The sequence below is a fragment of the Homo sapiens genome, chromosome 22 (genome assembly GCF_000001405.40).
Source record: "Homo sapiens chromosome 22, GRCh38.p14 Primary Assembly".
Classification (NCBI taxonomy): domain Eukaryota; kingdom Metazoa; phylum Chordata; class Mammalia; order Primates; family Hominidae; genus Homo; species Homo sapiens.
In genome coordinates this window covers 11957613-11974166 of record NC_000022.11, presented here as the reverse complement: position 1 = coordinate 11974166, position 16554 = coordinate 11957613, and positions in this window count along the sequence as shown.

Here is a 16554-nt window from a genome sequence, read left to right as displayed (position 1 = left end):
GCTTGTGGCTTGGTTCTATGTCCCTGCGGGTCGGTGCAAGGGCGAAGAGGAACCCGTGGGCCTCAGGGGATCCCGGGGGGCCGGACCAGTGTCCCCTCGTTGTGGGAGCAGACGCGTGGGCGCATTGCGGGCGGGCAGGGCCTGAAGTGCAGGTGCCGGCCGTGGACCCTGGCGGGGGCTGGGAGAACAGGCGTGGGGTCCCGGCAGTGAAGCGGATTCTAGAGGCGCAGGAGCAGGTAGGAGAGGCCGGTGGCCCTGGGCCGGGAGTCTGCAGGCCGCGCTCCTGTCCTGCCGCTGAGGGACCCGGTTACCAACCCGCATGACGCTCAGTTTGCCCATCTGTCCCAGTGCTAACACACAGTTCTCGGGAGACGTTCCCCATTCCCAGAGGAGTAGTGTGAAATGCGTGCGCCTCTAGTCTTAAACTTGGCGTTTGTATTAGTTGGGTTTCCTAGTGTCTCTTTAGCAAGTGAAGTTTCTGGTTCCCTCCTTCACTGTGTGACCTGCCTAGTCCTCCTGGGTCGCATTTACAGAAGTTTATACGAGACCTAGTTTCCAGGGAAGAACTCACTGATTCCGCGAGGGAGATGGCGTAATGGATGATGGTCGTCAGCCTTAAGGGTACTTCAGTCTTAACTGTGTGTTACAAAGTTTGAAAGGGAGGGTTCCCTATGAATAAGAAGCACACTTGAAAGAACAGCCATCTGGTCTAACCTCTCTCTGGTGCTTCAGAGGAGGAAAAAAGGTCACAGGTGAAGATCCCAGTTTTCCTTGCTCAGGAAATATTAATTCTACTCCCTAGAATGCACAAGATTTGCAAAGACTAGGTGATAGTAGAAGGTTTGGACGAACTTTCAGAAGGTTGAGGTGAATTCAGCTGAGAAGAACAGGCAAGGACTTAGGAAATATTCCTTATTTGAAGGGGCCTGAAAGTGTGGTCTGGGGTACAGCAGTGACCTGTCATACTTGAGAGGATTAAAATACTCTCCAAACACAGTCCCATTCCTTCAACCTTAGCTCGTTTTTTCCAGCGTCTGAGATATATTAAACCTAGTCCATCCCCAAATTTAGCATTAGATTGCGAAGTTCTATTGATTGTATTTGATTTGTAATTTAAGATTTTCTCCCCCTACGTAATTTTGTTAAAAACACAGAAGTGAATTCTGTTCACTTAGGTGTAACAGTTAATACTTGCTATTTAAGGAACTAATTAAACCTTACTGGCTTATAAAAAACAACCACCATTTTATTTGTTTGAAGTTCTGTGGATCTGCATTTTGGTGTGGTGCGTTCAGCTGGGTAGTTGATATATGTGTGTTGCCTGGATCACAAAAAGGCCTTAGTCACCTGGTGCCTTGACTGAGCCTGGTTGGTTTAAGATAGTTTCCTTCACAATCTGGTGGTTTGTGGTGACTCTTGGCTAGGCCCTGTGTCTCCAACAGGGTAGCTCCAGACCTCTTCACAATTTCCCCCAAAAAGGGAAGAACCAATGGATATTTGCATCACATTTTCCATTGTCCATTCACTGGACAAGTCAGATGGAAAAGCCCAATTTATTGTCAGAGCATAATATGAGGGCTTGGATAGAAGGAAAGGTGTTATTGGGAAACATGAGTAGAATGGTGTACTGCAGGAAATACATATTATGTACATTTTTAAAAACGTAATTGTAGGCCAAAATTGCTGGTTTGCAAGATGCACTTTCCATGATGTTCAGGTATAGAAAAGCAAGATGTACTGTCATGGGAACACTCTTATGAAGTTGTTTGTGGAATCTACATATTAATAGGAAAATAGCTAATATAGCCCAGTATATTTCTATAACATTTATTTTAGTGAACTTATAATGTTTCTTTGTATTAAATTATTAGATTATATCTTTAGATAATATTGTTACTAAATTAGTAGGTAATATATATTTTTATTCAAAAATAAATTGTGCATCTAATGTCTACCAATTAATGTACTTGTAGATGTATCTTATCTTAACTTGAGTCTTTGCTGCCCCTAATGAGGCGTGAAGGACTCTTCTCCCCTGGGGAAGTTTGTCTTTTTCAGGAGGGAGGAGGGCTTTCCCAGGTAATGTGTCTAGAGTGTTGGGCAGAAGAATCTGGGACCACACCACACCAGTTCTCTCCTTAATCCACGTCATTTGCCTTCTATCCCAGCTATGTTTCCAGTGTCCCCTGGGTGTTTCCAAGAGCAACAAGAAACGAATAAATCTCTGGTGAGTTGTTTATTTGTTCTTCACTTTGTTTTACACTGTATTTTCTGAGTTTATGGGTGTCTGTGAATTAAAAAGGAAAAGTAGAAATAAGTAAAACTCAGGTTGAAGGAAATATACATAAATAAGATAAAGCTGACCTGTAGATATAGGCAGGTTGTAAGAGCTTAGAGTTGTCTAAGTTGAGTGCAAATTTTCCTCTGATCTTTCTGATGCTGAGACAAAAAAGGCAGTCATGTTTGTTACGTGATTAGAATGGAACCCGAGAAGAGAGCATGCTGTGTTCTTGTGAGACAGGAAAGCTTGCGTGCACCAAGTCTGAACCACCACCTTCATTGGTGACATAGATTATGTGCTGGAACATATTTCACACCGGCCTGGCAGTAAACACTTGTAGTGTTGTGCAGTGGAAACGGTCATCTTCCGCTAAAGCACGGCGTGTTGTGCAGTGGAAATGGTCATCTGCCGCTAAAGCACAGCTTCCATCGTAATGTATGCTCCTTGCTCAAAGATTGTGGTCCCAAACAGCCTTTGGGAGGTCCTCCTTGATTCATGGATGAAACCCGGAACATCTTGAGGACTGAGTTAACCATAGGTCCTTAAATAACTCTCCACACTTTTTCTTAGTTTGTCTCATGCAGGATGTGCAGCAGCCTGTTCAAAGTCATATTTTCTGGGAAATCTTTCCAGTGTTTATTTGCACTTTAGCCCACTCTGTGTAGCCTTATTTCTTCTAAACTCACCATTAACCTGAATAATAGTCAAATTTAGGGGGACTGTATTTGCCTTACTCGAGTCTTCTACCATAGTTGAAACTGTCGTACCCGAGTGAGTTAGAGAGAAATGCCACGCATTGAGACGAATTCAGGAGTCCTTTACTAGCCAGCGACTGAGACATGGCTAACGCACGAAATTATCTAGGCCCCAAAGAAGGGACAAGATTTTCTTTTATACTTTGGTTTAGAGAGGGGAGGGGGGATTCTAGCTGCAGCAACTTTACAGAAGAAAAAAACAGACAAAAAACTTAGAAAGACAGATGGTTACAGGAAAACAAACTGTTCCTGGTGTAGGGGCTTTAAATTCACCACAAAGTGATAGGTGAGGGGGCTCTGGGCATTATCTGCCTGACAAATGTGGGGGCTTTATGTACTATCTCTAAGTAAATTGCTGGGAACGGGGGACATCTCTTGTCTCAGCACTTTATCAGTTAATTGCACGCTTTGATATGTTGAAAATCAGCTTGCACAAATTAAAGTCCTTGAGGAAAGGGGGTGGGTAAGGAGCCCTTGATGTCTTGTTAATGAAGGAGCCAAATGGAGTTTGTCTGGTTTTCTCAGCTAAGGGAGAGTCTATTAATATTAAAAACAAGGTTAGCTGTCTAAGGAAGAGTCTATTCATGTTAATACAAGGTTGGGTATTACAAAACGTCTGTTCATGATCTGGAAATTCTTCTGTGTTAGTTCTGTTAAAAGAAAAACTTTAAAGGAGTTTAATTTAGCAATAAACGGTTCATGAGTCGGACAGTCCCCAGAATCACAGCAGATTCACAGAGACTCCAGTGCAGTCATGTGGTGGAAGAAGATTTATAGACAAAAGGGAAGTGGCATACCGAAATCGGAAGTGAGGTACAGAAACAACTCAGCGTTTGCCTTGTTTGAACACATTTTGAACATTTGGCAGTGCTTGAGTGGTTGAAGTTTGGCCATTGGGATTGGTCAAGATGTAGCTGTTGTTCCAGGTGCGTACTCTTAAGTTAGTTCTTCATTCTTGTATACCTATTAAGGTAGGTTGCAGTTCATCCACAAGGACTCATATATAGAATTATGGAGTCCTTCTCAGGCCATACTTAGTTCACTTTAACAATGCCTTCCCTTTGGTTATTTTCTCAATTTTGAGAGATTGGCCAAAACTTCAGTCACTGGTGTCACTATTACCGTTGCAAATGTACTTACTTGGTTTAGAAACCCACTGGGAAATAGACCAGTGAGATTTGAAAAGGTGGAACAAGGACTTGAGTAGAAGGTATCTTCTTATGCTGGAACATCCTGTTTACAGGAGAAAAACAAAACCTGGTTTGTTCTAGGATTTATGTGTTTCCCTAAAGTCTTAGTTTGATTATGTTACATTTAGCATGAGTGACTCCATTTTGGTTTGGTTTGGTTTGGTCTGTTGGGACCTATTGCATGAGCTTAGTTCAAAACAATGGCCTCCCATAATTTTGCTTAAAAAATTCCTCCTTTTTGCTGGGTGTGGTGGCTCACACCTGTAATCCCAGCACTTTGGGAGGCTGAGGTGGGCAGATCATGAGGTCAGGAGATTGAGACCATCCTTGCTAATACGGTGAAACCCCATCTCTACTAAAAATACAAAAAATTAGCCAAGTGTGGTGGCAGGTGCCTGTATTCCCAGCTACTCAGGAGGCTGAGGCAGGAGAATGGCCTGAACCCGGGAGGCAGAGCTTGCAGTGAGCCGAGATCATGCCACTGCACTCCACTCTGGGGGACAGACCAAAACTCTGTCTTAGAAAAAAAAAGTCCTCCTTTTCAGTCAAGTTCTCACTTAGTTGAGAGTGTGACCAAAATGTAGGGCCTTAGCATCACTCTTAGTTACCATTGTTTTGGGTTCCAGTTTTAGCATGTCATTCCCATTGTTTTGGGTTTCTGGTTTAGCACATCACTCCCATTGTTTTGGGTTCCGGTTTTAGCACGTCATTCCCATTGTTTTGGGTTTCTGGTTTAGCACTTCACTCCCATTGTTTTGGGTTCTGGTTTTAGCACGTCACTCCCATTGTTTTGGGTTCCGGTTTAGCACGTCACTCCCATTGTTTTGGGTTCCTGTTTAGCACGTCATTCCCATTGTTTTGGGTTCCGGTTGCAGCACATCACTCCCATTGTTTTGGGTATCTGGTTTTAGCATGTCACTCCCATTGTTTTGTGTATCTGGTTTTAGCACCTCACTCCCATTGTTTTGGGTTTCCAGGTTTTAGCACGTCACTCCTATTGTTTTGGGTTTCTGGTTTATCATGTCACTCTCATTGTTTTGGGTTTCTGGTTTTAGTACATCACTCTCATTGTTTTGGGTTTCTGGTTTAGCAGGACGCTCCCATTGTTTTGGGTTTCTGGTTTTACAAGTCACTCCCATTGTTTTGGGTTTCTGGTTTAGCAGGACGCTCCCATTGTTTTGGGTTTCTGGTTTTACACGTCACTCCCATTGTTTTGGGTTTCTGGTTTAGCACGTCACTCCCATTGTTTTCGGTTTCTGGTTTAGCAGGACTCTCCCATTGTTTTGGGTTTCTGGTTTAGCAGGTCACTACCATTGTTTTGGGTTCCAGTTTAAGCACATCACTCCCATTGTTTTGGATTCCGGTTTTAGCATGTCACTCCCATTATTTTGGGTTCCGGTTTTAGCACATCACTCCCATTGTTTTGGATTTCTGGTTTAGCAGATCACTCCCACTGTTTTGGGTTCCGGTTTAAGCACATCACTACCATTGTTTTCGTTTCCAGTTTTAGCATGTCACTCCCATTGTTTTGGGTTCCAGTTTTAGCAAGTCACTCCCATTGTTTTAGGTTTCTGGTTTAGCAGGTCACTCCCATTGTTTTCGGTTCCGGTTTAAGCACATCACTCCCGTTGTTTTGGGTTCTGGTTTTAGCACCTCACTCCCATTGTTTGGGTTTCTGGTTTTGCAGGTCACTCCCATTGTTTTGGGTTCCAGTTTAAGCACATCACTCCCATTGTTTTCGTTTCCGGTTTTAGCACGTCACTTCCATTGTTTTGGGTTCCAGTTTTAGCAAGTCACTCCCATTGTTTTGGGTTTCTGGTTTAGCATGTCACTCCCATTGTTTTGGGTTTCTGGTTTAGCATGTCACTCATAGGTTACGGTGTCCTTATGGTTGCACATTTTTTTTTAATCTCTTGTCATTCCAGTTGAAGAGATACCATTTGACATTTTAGAGATGGCTGCATGTAAACTCTTAAAACATTTGAGTAAGTACAGTGCACCAGGGAGACTCTTATGACTATTGGGATAACACCAAGAATTTGGTATATGCTCCTTACTCAGGGTCCCCATAAATCAAACCACCTAAAATCAAATAGATTAAAGAATGAATTAGATAAAGAGTTTCCTTGCTTAACTAAGTGGTTTTTTTGTTAATTCCCTACAACCAAATCTTTATAATACCCCATGTTTTCTCCACATGCTGTAAGTGTTAGCAGCTGCACAGATACTTAAGATAAGAGTCTCATGATAGTAGAGAAGTCTTGATCTGTGATCTTGGGAAAAGCTGTTCACATTAAGGATGTCATCTTCTTCTGGGGGGAACGGTCCTTGTTAGCTTTACCTTAAGGGTTCCAATGGGCATATGGTTCTGAGTGTGGAGGGACCCTTCTGAGTTGTGAGACTATCAACCCAAAGTTTAAGTTTTTAAAGTTTTGCTGTCATGTGGATGGCGAGGGCAGTCCTTCTCTGATGTTCTCAGAAGATCCAGTCATCAGATTCTAGATTTTGAAGGGTTTGACTGTCCTCAGTGAACCATAAAAGGCTTTCTTTACCTGGTGAAAATACACTTCAGGGTAATAATCTACTGTTTTAACTTCAACTCTCTCGCATGGAAGAGCTTTTATACAATCAGAAAACATGCACTGAAAATGAAAACTGAATGAAATCCCTTTATAAAATGTTTAAATGGCCCATCAGATAACCAAATGTACCTGAAGTTTTGATTGTTTTCCTAGGAATATAGGTTTCACAAACCAAACATTGGTTATAAACTATTTTAGCAGTTTAGAAATCACCACACCAATATATTTAATTGGATCGTTTTCTCTTTCCGTGATGAGTTATGGAATGCAGAACTTTTAATAACAAAAGTTTTTAGGACTTAAGAAGGATAAGGTGGCCATCCTGGTTCTTCATAGGTCTGTGCTTAATTAACATCAGACTTACATCCTCTTGAATACCAGCTGTTTCTCCAAATTAGGTGCAAGGCACTGGTAACTGATGAGTAGTTATAGGTAATTTGATTTAGAACATGGAATTTATTTAAATTATATATCTAAACAATTTCAATATTGGTGATTTAGCATGCAAATGTGACAAAATATTTCCTTGGTATACAATTTTTGTTTTACTTGGGTTAGCAGTTTTACAAACCAGTTGGTCTTTTTATTAAATTTTTGATATATTTTTTTTTGAGACAGAGTCTCACTCTGTTACCTAGGTTGGAGTGCAGTGGCACAATCTTGGCTCACTGCAACCTCCGCCTCCTGGGCTCAAGCAATTCTCTTGCCTCAGCCTCCCGAGTAGCTGGGATTACAGGCACATACCACCACACCCAGCTAATTTTTGTATTTTTAGTAGAGGTGGGGTTTCACCTTTGGCCAGGCTGGTCTCAAACTCCTGACCTCAAGTGATCCACCGGCCTTGGACTCCTAAAGTGCTGGGATTGCCGACATGAGCCGCTGCACCCAGCCTAACTGTTGAGAATTCTTAGCCAGTCCAATTCTTGGGGTATCGGGGAACTTATGGGGAATTTTTACCCATGATATTAAAGTTATTAGAAATCTGTGTTCACGAGTGTTTTTCAGGGTCCTTTTCATTCTTTCATGAATCTTCTAAGAGACACCATATTCTAGAATTTTGCATGCTTGTGAAGTTTTTAGAAACTGCATCACCATTAAGCAATTAACTGTGAAATGACTTTAGTTATAGTTAAAGACAATTGACAAGGAAATATGGTTATTTCTGTGGTCTACAATAACTTAATAACCATAATTAGGGTGGATGTGGTGGCTCATGCCTGTAATCCCAGCACTTTGGGAGGTCGAGGTGGAAGGATCATGAGGTCAGGAGATCGTGACCATCCTGGCTAACACGGTGAAATCCATCTTTACTAAAAATACAAAAATTAGCCTGGCATGGTGGTGGGTGCCTGTAGTCCCAGCTACTCGGGAGGCTGAGGCAGGAGAATGGCATGAACCCGGGAGGCGGAAGTTTCAGTGAGCCGAGATTGTGCCACTGTACTCCAGCCTGGGTGACAGAGCAAGACTCCATCTCAGAAAAAAAAAATACAAGAATTTTAGAAATCCTATACAATTTTAGAATGGATTGATGACATACACTAAATATAACCTGAGGAAGGTTCCACATTATTTTTTATTTTGACAGTGCTACCCATGTGACTTAACATGTTAAATAGTCCTGTTTACCTCTCTTTTGGGTTCTTCGGGGGTATCTGTAGTATCCCAAAGTTAGAGGTCAGAAAAGACAATTTTGAAGTTGAAATTTGATTTTGGGAAGCCTATTAAATATATTAAAGGTTTAAACACTTGATGTTATGAAATAGAATTCCACGTCACCGTAAGTCATTCATTTACCTAAAATCATGACTTAAAAAATTTTTATTTTTTTTATTCTTATTTTTTAGTATACTTTTAGTTTTAGGGTACATGTGCACATTGTGCAGGTTAGTTACATATGTATACATGTGCCATGCTGGTGCGCTGCACCCACTAACTCGTCATCTAGCATTAGGTATATCTCCCAATGCTATCCCTCCCCCCTCCCCCCACACCACAACAGTCCCGAGAGTGTGATATTCCCCTTCCTGTGTCCATGTGATCTCATTGTTCAATTCCCACCTATGAGTGAGAATATGCGGTGTTTGGTTTTACGTTCTTGTGATAGTTTACTGAGAATGATGATTTCCAATTTCATCCATGTCCCTACAAAGGACATGAACTCATCATTTTTTATGGCTGCATAGTATTCCATGGTGTATATGTGCCACATTTTCTTAATCCAGTCTATCATTGTTGGACATTTGGGTTGGTTCCAAGTCTTTGCTATTGTGAATAATGCTGCAATAAACATACGTGTGCATGTGTCTTTATAGCAGCATGATTTATAGTCCATTGGGTATATACCCAGTAATGGGATGGCTGGGTCAAATGGCATTTCCAGTTCCAGATCCCTGAGGAATCGCCACACTGACTTCCACAATGATTGAACTAGTTTACAGTCCCACCAACAGTGTAAAACTGTTCCTATTTCTCCACTTCCTCTCCAGCACCTGTTGTTTTCTGACTTTTTAATGATTGCCATTCTAACTGGTGTGAGATGGTATCACATTGCGGTTTTGATTTGCATTTCTCTGATGGCCAGTGATGATGAGCAATTTTTCATGTGTTTTTTGGCTGCATAAATGTCTTCTTTTGAGAAGTGTCTGTTCATGTCCTTCACCCACTTTTTGATGGGGTTTTTTTTTCTTGTAAATTTGTTTGAGTTCATTGTAGATTCTGGATATTAGCCCTTTGTCAGATGAGTAGGTTGCGAAAATTTTCTGCCGTTTTTTAGGTTGCCTGTTCACTCTGATGGTAGTTTCTTTTGCTGTGAAGAAGCTCTTGAGTTTAATTAGATCCCATTTGTCAATTTTGGCATTTGTTGCCATTGCTTTTGGTGTTTTAGACATGAAGTCCTTGCCCATGCCTATGTCCTGAATGGTAATGCCTAGGTTTTCTTCTAGGGTTTTTATGGTTTTAGGTCTAACGTTTAAGTCTTTAATCCATCTTGAATTGATTTTTGTATAAGGTGTAAGGAAGGGATCCAGTTTCAGCTTTTTACATATGGCTAGCCAGTTTTCCCAGCACCATTTATTAAATAGGGAATTCTTGTCCCATTTCTTGTTTTTCTCAGGTTTGTCAAAGATCAGATAGTTGTAGATATGTGGCATTATCTCTGAGGGCTCTCTTCTGTTCCATTGATCTATATCTCTGTTTAGGTACCAGTACCATGCTGTTTTGGTTACTGTAGCCTTGTAGTATAGTTTGAAGTCAGGTAGTGTGATGCCTCCAGCTTTGTTCTTTTGGCTTACGATTGACTTGGCAATGCAGGCTCTTTTTTGGTTCCATATGAACTTTAAAGTAGTTTTTTCCAATTGTGTGAAGAAAGTCATTGGTAGCTTGATGGGGATGGCATTGAATCTGTAAATTACTTTGGGCAGTATGGCCATTTTCAAGATATTGATTCTTCCTACCCATGAGCATGGAATGTTCTTCCATTTGTTTTTATCCTTTTTTATTTCATTGAGCAGTGGTTTGTAGTTCTCCTTGAAGAGGTCCTTCTCATCCCTTGTAAGTTGGATTCCTAGGTATTTTATTCTCTTTGAAGCAATTGTGAATGGGAGTTAACTCATGATTGGCTCTCTGTTTGTCTGTTGTTGGTGTATAAGAATGCTTGTGATTTTTGTACATTGATTTTGTATCCTGAGACATTGCTGAAGTTGCTTATCAGCTTAAGGAGATTTTGGGCTGAGACAATGGGGTTTTCTAGATATACAATCATGTCATCTGCAAACAGGGACAATTTGACTTCCTTTTTTCCTAATTGAATGCCATTTATTTCCTTCTCCTGCCTAACTGCCCTGGCCAGAACTTCCAACACTATGTTGAATAGGAGTGGTGAGAGAGGCCATCCCTGTCTTGTGCCAGTTTTCAAAGGGAATGCTTCCAGTTTTTGCCCATTCAGTATGATATTGGTTGTGGGTTTGTCATAGATAGCTCTTATTATTTTGAAATACGTCCCATCAATACCTAATTTATTGAGAGTTTTTAGCATGAAGCATTGTTGAATTTTGTCAAAGGCCTTTTCTGCATCTATTGAGATAATCATGTGGTTTTTGTCTTTGGCTCTGTTTATATGCTGGATTACATTTATTGATTTGTGTATATTGAACCAGCCTTACATCCCAGGGATGAAGCCCACTTGATCATGGTGCATAAGCTTTTTGATGTGTTGCTGGATTCGTTTTGCCAGTATTTTACTGAGGATTTTTGCATCAATGTTCATGAAGGATATTGGTCTAAAATTCCTTTTTTGGTTGTGTCTCTGCCTGGCTTTGGTGTCAGAATGATGCTGGCCTCATAAAATGAGTTAGGGAGGATTCCCTCTTTTTCTGTTGATTGGAATAGTTTCAGAAGGAATGGTACCAGTTCTTCCTTGTACCTCTGGTAGAATTCGGCTGTGAATCCATCTGGTCCTGGACTCTTTTTGGTTGGTAAGCTATTGATTATTGCCACAATTTCGGCTCCTGTTATTGGTCTATTCAGAGATTCAACTTCTTCCTGGTTTAGTCTTGGGAGAGTGTATGTGTCGAGGAATTTATCCATTTCTTCTAGATTTTCTAGTTTATTTGCGTAGAGGTGTTTGTAGTATTCTCTGATGGTAGTTAGTATTTCTCTGGGATTGGTGGTGATATCCCCTTTATCATTTTTATTGCGTCTATTTGATTCTTCTCTCTTTTTTTCTTTATTAGTCTTGCTAGAGGTCTATCAATTTTGCTGATCCTTTCAAAAAACCAGCTCCTGGATTCATTAATTTTTTGAAGGGATTTTGTATCTCTATTTCCTTCAGTTCTGCTCTGATTTTAGTTATTTCTTGCCTTCTGCTAGCTTTTGAATGTGTTTGCTCTTGCTTTTCTAGTTCTTTCAATTGTGATGTTAGGGTGTCAATTTTGGATCTTTCCTGTTTTCCCTTGTGGGCATTTAGTGCTATAAATTTCCCTCTACACAGTGCTTTGAATGCATCCCAGAGATTCTGGTATGTTGTGTCTTTGTTCTCGTTGGTTTCAAAGAACATCTTTATTTCTGCCTTCATTTCCTTATGTACCCAGTAGTCATTCAGGAGCAGGTTGTTCAGTTTCCATGTAGTTGAGCAGTTTTGAGTGAGATTCTTAATCCTGAGCTCTAGTTTGATTGCACTGTGGTCTGAGAGATAGTTTCTTATAATTTCTGTTCTTTTACATTTGCTGAGGAGAACTTTACTTCCAAGTATGTGGTCAATTTTGGAATAGGTGTGGTGTGGTGCTGAAAACATGTATATTCTGTTGATTTGGGGTAGAGAGTTCTGTAGATGTCTGTTAGGTCCGCTTGGTGCAGAGCTGAGTTCAATTCCTGGGTATGCTTGTTGACTTCCTGTCTTGTTGATCTGTCTAATGTTGACAGTGGAGTGTTAAAGTCTCCCATTATTAATGCGTGGGAGTCTAAGTCTCTTTGTAGGTCACTCAGGACTTGCTTTATGAATCTGGGTGCTCCTGTATTGGTTGCATATATATTTAGGATAGTTAGCTCTTCTTGTTGAATTGATCCCTTTACCATTATGTAATGGCCTTTGTCTCTTTTGATCTTTGTTGGTTTAAAGTCTGTTTTATCAGAGACTAGGATTACAACCCCTGCCTTTTTTTGTTTTCCATTTGCTTGGTAGATCTTCCTCCATCCTTTTATTTTGAACCTATGTGTGTCTCTGCACGTGAGATGAGTTTCCTGAATACAGCACACTGATGGTTCTTGACTCTTTATCCAATTTGCCAGTCTGTGTCTTTTAATTGGAGCATTTAGTCCATTTACATTTAAAGTTAATAATGTTATGTGTGAATTTGATCCTGTCATTATGATGTTAGCTGGTTATTTTGCTCGTTAGTTAATGCAGTTTCTTCCTAGTCTCGACGGTGTTTACATTTTGACATGATTTTGCAGCGGCTGGTACCGGTTGTTCCTTTCCATGTTTAGTGCTTCCTTCAGGAGCTCTTGTAAGGCAGGCCTGGTGGTGACAAAATCTCTCAGCATTTGCTTGTCTGTAAAGTATTTTATTTCTCCTTCACTTATGAAGCTTAGTTTGGCTGGATATGAAATTCTGGGTTGAAAATTCTTTCCTTTAAGATTGTTGAATATTGGCCCCCACTCTCTTCTGGCTTGTAGGGTTTCTGCCGAGAGATCCGCTGTTAGTCTGATGGGCTTCCCTTTGAGGGTAACCCGACCTTTCTCTCTGAATGCCCTGAACAATTTTTCCTTCATTTCAACTTTGGTGAATCTGACAATTATGTGTCTTGGAGTTGCTCTTCTCGAGGAGTATCTTTGTGTCATTCTCTGTATTTTCTGAATCTGAATGTTGGCCTGCCTTGCTAGATTGAGGAAGTTCTCCTGGATAATATCCAGCAGTGTTTTCCAACTTGGTTCCATTCTCCCTATCACTTTCAGGTACACCAATCAGATGTAGATTTGGTCTTTTCACATAGTCCCATATTTCTTGGAGGCTTTGCTCATTTATTTTTATTCTTTTTTATCTAAACTTCCCTTCTCACTTCATTTCATTCATTTCATCTTCCATTGCTGATACCCTTTCTTCCAGTTGATCACATCAGCTCCTGAGGCTTCTGCATTCTTCACGTAGTTCTTGAGCCTTCGTTTTCAGCTCCATCAGCTCCTTTAAGAACTTCTCTCTATTGGTTATTCTAGTTAAACATTCTTCTAAATTTTTTTCAAAGTTTTCAACTTTGCCTTTCGTTTGAATGTCCTCCCGTAGCTCAGAGTAATTTGATCGTCTGAAGCCTTCTTCTCTCAGCTCGTCAAAGTCATTCTCCATCCAGCTTTGTTCCGTTGCTGGTGAGGAACTGCATTCCTTTGGAGGAGGAGAGGCGCTCTGCTTTTTAGAGTTTCCAGTTTTTCTGTTCTGTTTTTTCCCCATCTTTGTGGTTTTATCTACTTTTTGTCTTTGATGATGGTGATGTACACATGGGTTTTTGGTGTGGATGTCCTTTCTGTTTGTTAGTTTTCCTTCTAACAGACAGTACCCTCAGCTTCAGGTCTGTTGGAGTTTTCTAGAGGCCCATTCCCGACCCTGTTTGCCTGGGTATCAGCAGTGGTGTCTGCAAAACCGCGGATTTTCGTGATCCGCGAATGCTGCTGTCTGATCGTTCCTCTGGAAATTTTGTCTCAGAGGAGTACCTGGTCGTGTGAGGTGTCAGTCTGCCCCTGCTAGGGGGCACCTCCCAGTTAGGCTGCTCGGGGGTCAGGGGTCAGGGACCAACTTGAGGAGGCAGTCTGCCCATTCTCAGATCTCCAGCTGCATGCTGGGAGAACCACTGCTCTCCTCAAAGCTGTCAGACAGGGACATTTAAGTCTGCAGAGGTTACTGCTGTCTTTTTGTTTGTCTGTGTCCTGCCCCCAGAGGTGGAGCCTACAGAGGCAGGCAGGCCTCCTTGAGCTGTGGTGGGCTCCACCCAGTTCGAGCTTCCAGGCTGCTTTGTTTACCTAAGAGAGCCTGGGCAATGGCCGGTTCCCCTCCCCCAGCCTCGCTGCTGCCTTGCAGTTTGATCTCAGACTGCTGTGTTAACAATCAGCGAGACTCCGTGGGCGTAGGACCCTCCGAGCCAGGTACAGGATATAATCTCATGGTGTGCCGTTTCCTAAGCCCGTCAGAAAAGCTCAGTATTAGGGTGGCAGTGGCCCGATTTTCCAGGTGCCATCTGTCACCCCTTTCCTTGACCAGGAAAGGGAACTAACTCCCTGACCCCTTGCACTTCCCGAGTGAGGCAGTGCCTCGCCCTGCTTCGGCTAGTGCACAGTGCACTTCACCCACTGTCCTGCACCCACTGTCTGGCACTCCCTAGTGAGATGAACCCAGTACCTCAAATGGAAATGCAGAAATCACCCATCTTCTGCATCGCTCATGCTGGGAGCTGTAGACCGGAGCTGTTCCTATTCGGCCATCTTGGCTCCTCCTCCCATTATTTTTTAATATTTTCTGAAAGTCTTCTTTAAAGAGAGAAAGCCAAATGTCACCCACTTTTTCATAAAACCTTACAGGCAAATCTATTATTCTTTTCTTTTTTGAGATGGATTTTCCCTCTTGTTGCCCAGGCTGGAGTGCAATGGTGCGATCTCGGTTTACTGCAACCCCCTGCCTCCCAGGTTCAAGCGATTCTCCCGCCCCAGCCTCCTGAGTAGCTGGGATTAGAGGCATGCCCCACCATGCCCAGCTAATTTTGTGTTTTTAGTAGAGACGGGTTTTTCCTTGTTGGTCAGGCTGGCCTTGAACTCCTGACCTCATGTGATCCACCTGCCTCGGCCTCCCCAAGTGTTGGGATTACAGCCATGAGCCACTGCCCCAGGCCATTTTTTTTTAAATATAGCGTCTTGCTCTGTCACCCTCCTCACCACATTATAGCTCTGGGGGCCAAGCTGCATCACAATGGAAATCATGGAGCCACAGGAAGAATCCACTCAGCTTTGCAAGATGCTGCCCAAGGGGTTGCTTGGAGTAACCAAATTAACATTTTTCATTCTGCTCAGAGCAAAATATATGTGACAAAACATAGACACGAGCCACTTTGCTTAACACCCAGTGTCAAACTGGTAAGACTCAAACTTGCTCCCAGATAGGCCGTGCCATCTCTAAATCTTTTTAGAAGCTTCTGCATGTTAATAGGCATCCCTAGATGAGACTAATTTGGGAGCCCTCATTTTTAAATGCACTTCAGGGCATTATTCATTTGGAATGTTCCACTATAAGTTATCTTTAGTAAGATTTTGCCATTTCTGTAAGACTTTGCTGCTTCCCAGGCCTAATGAATTAGCCAGAAAGAACTTAGTTTTCCAGAAATTAAGGATCCTATTTTTACCTAATATATTGGCTTTACTCCCAGGTTCCCTTGATTGACTTAGCCAATTATTTTTTTTCCTACCTAAGCGTGTGAGGAAAATGAAACAAAGGGGCAGAACACAAAAATCCCCGTGAATTTCCAAAAGCCAAATTTTACAATCCTCCAATATTATCATTTACTACCACTTTCTTTCTGACCCATTCAGATGTAGGAGGCCTCTAACTGGAACTGGATTCAAGCCAGTTAATTACTAGATCACATCTGATCCTGGACCCAGTCCCATTTCTGTCATAACTTCTAAAACATCCAGCCAGTCATGGCTGGATAGCAGTTTGGAACAGAAATTTGCTCAGAGAAACTCAGCTCAAAACACAAATCCATGGAGCTCTGAAATCCGAGAGAGAATTTACCACGATCCCCAGATGCTCTGAGAGGTCAAAGGGCACAAGTGTTACAGAATCCTGAGGCATCACTTTTCTGCCTGAAACCTCTGGCTGGTGGCACCTTTACCTGTGTTTTGCTCGGGCCCACTGTGTTCGTTCTGTCCACTCGGCTCATGCTAGTGGTCTGGATCCCACACCTGCCAAGGGTGAGCTGGGTACAGAGCAGTGAAGGGTGTGTGAGCAAGTGAGCATGGGATCTGGCCACTGCACACAGCCAAGCATGCCAGCTGCAGTGGGGTGGGCAGCTCCAGGCACCGGCACAGGTGCCAGCTCCCTGTGAGGCTGCAGCTGGACCAGGCTGACTGCAAACAGCTTCCACTGTGGGTATCAGGGAATGCAGTGGTGCCTGGAATCTTGGAGATGCAGGAACTGCAGAGCCCCAAATAAGGTGTCACAGCCCTGGCTTGGGGAGCTCCTAGGTCTGGGCTCCCTGAAGGGCCACAGCTCT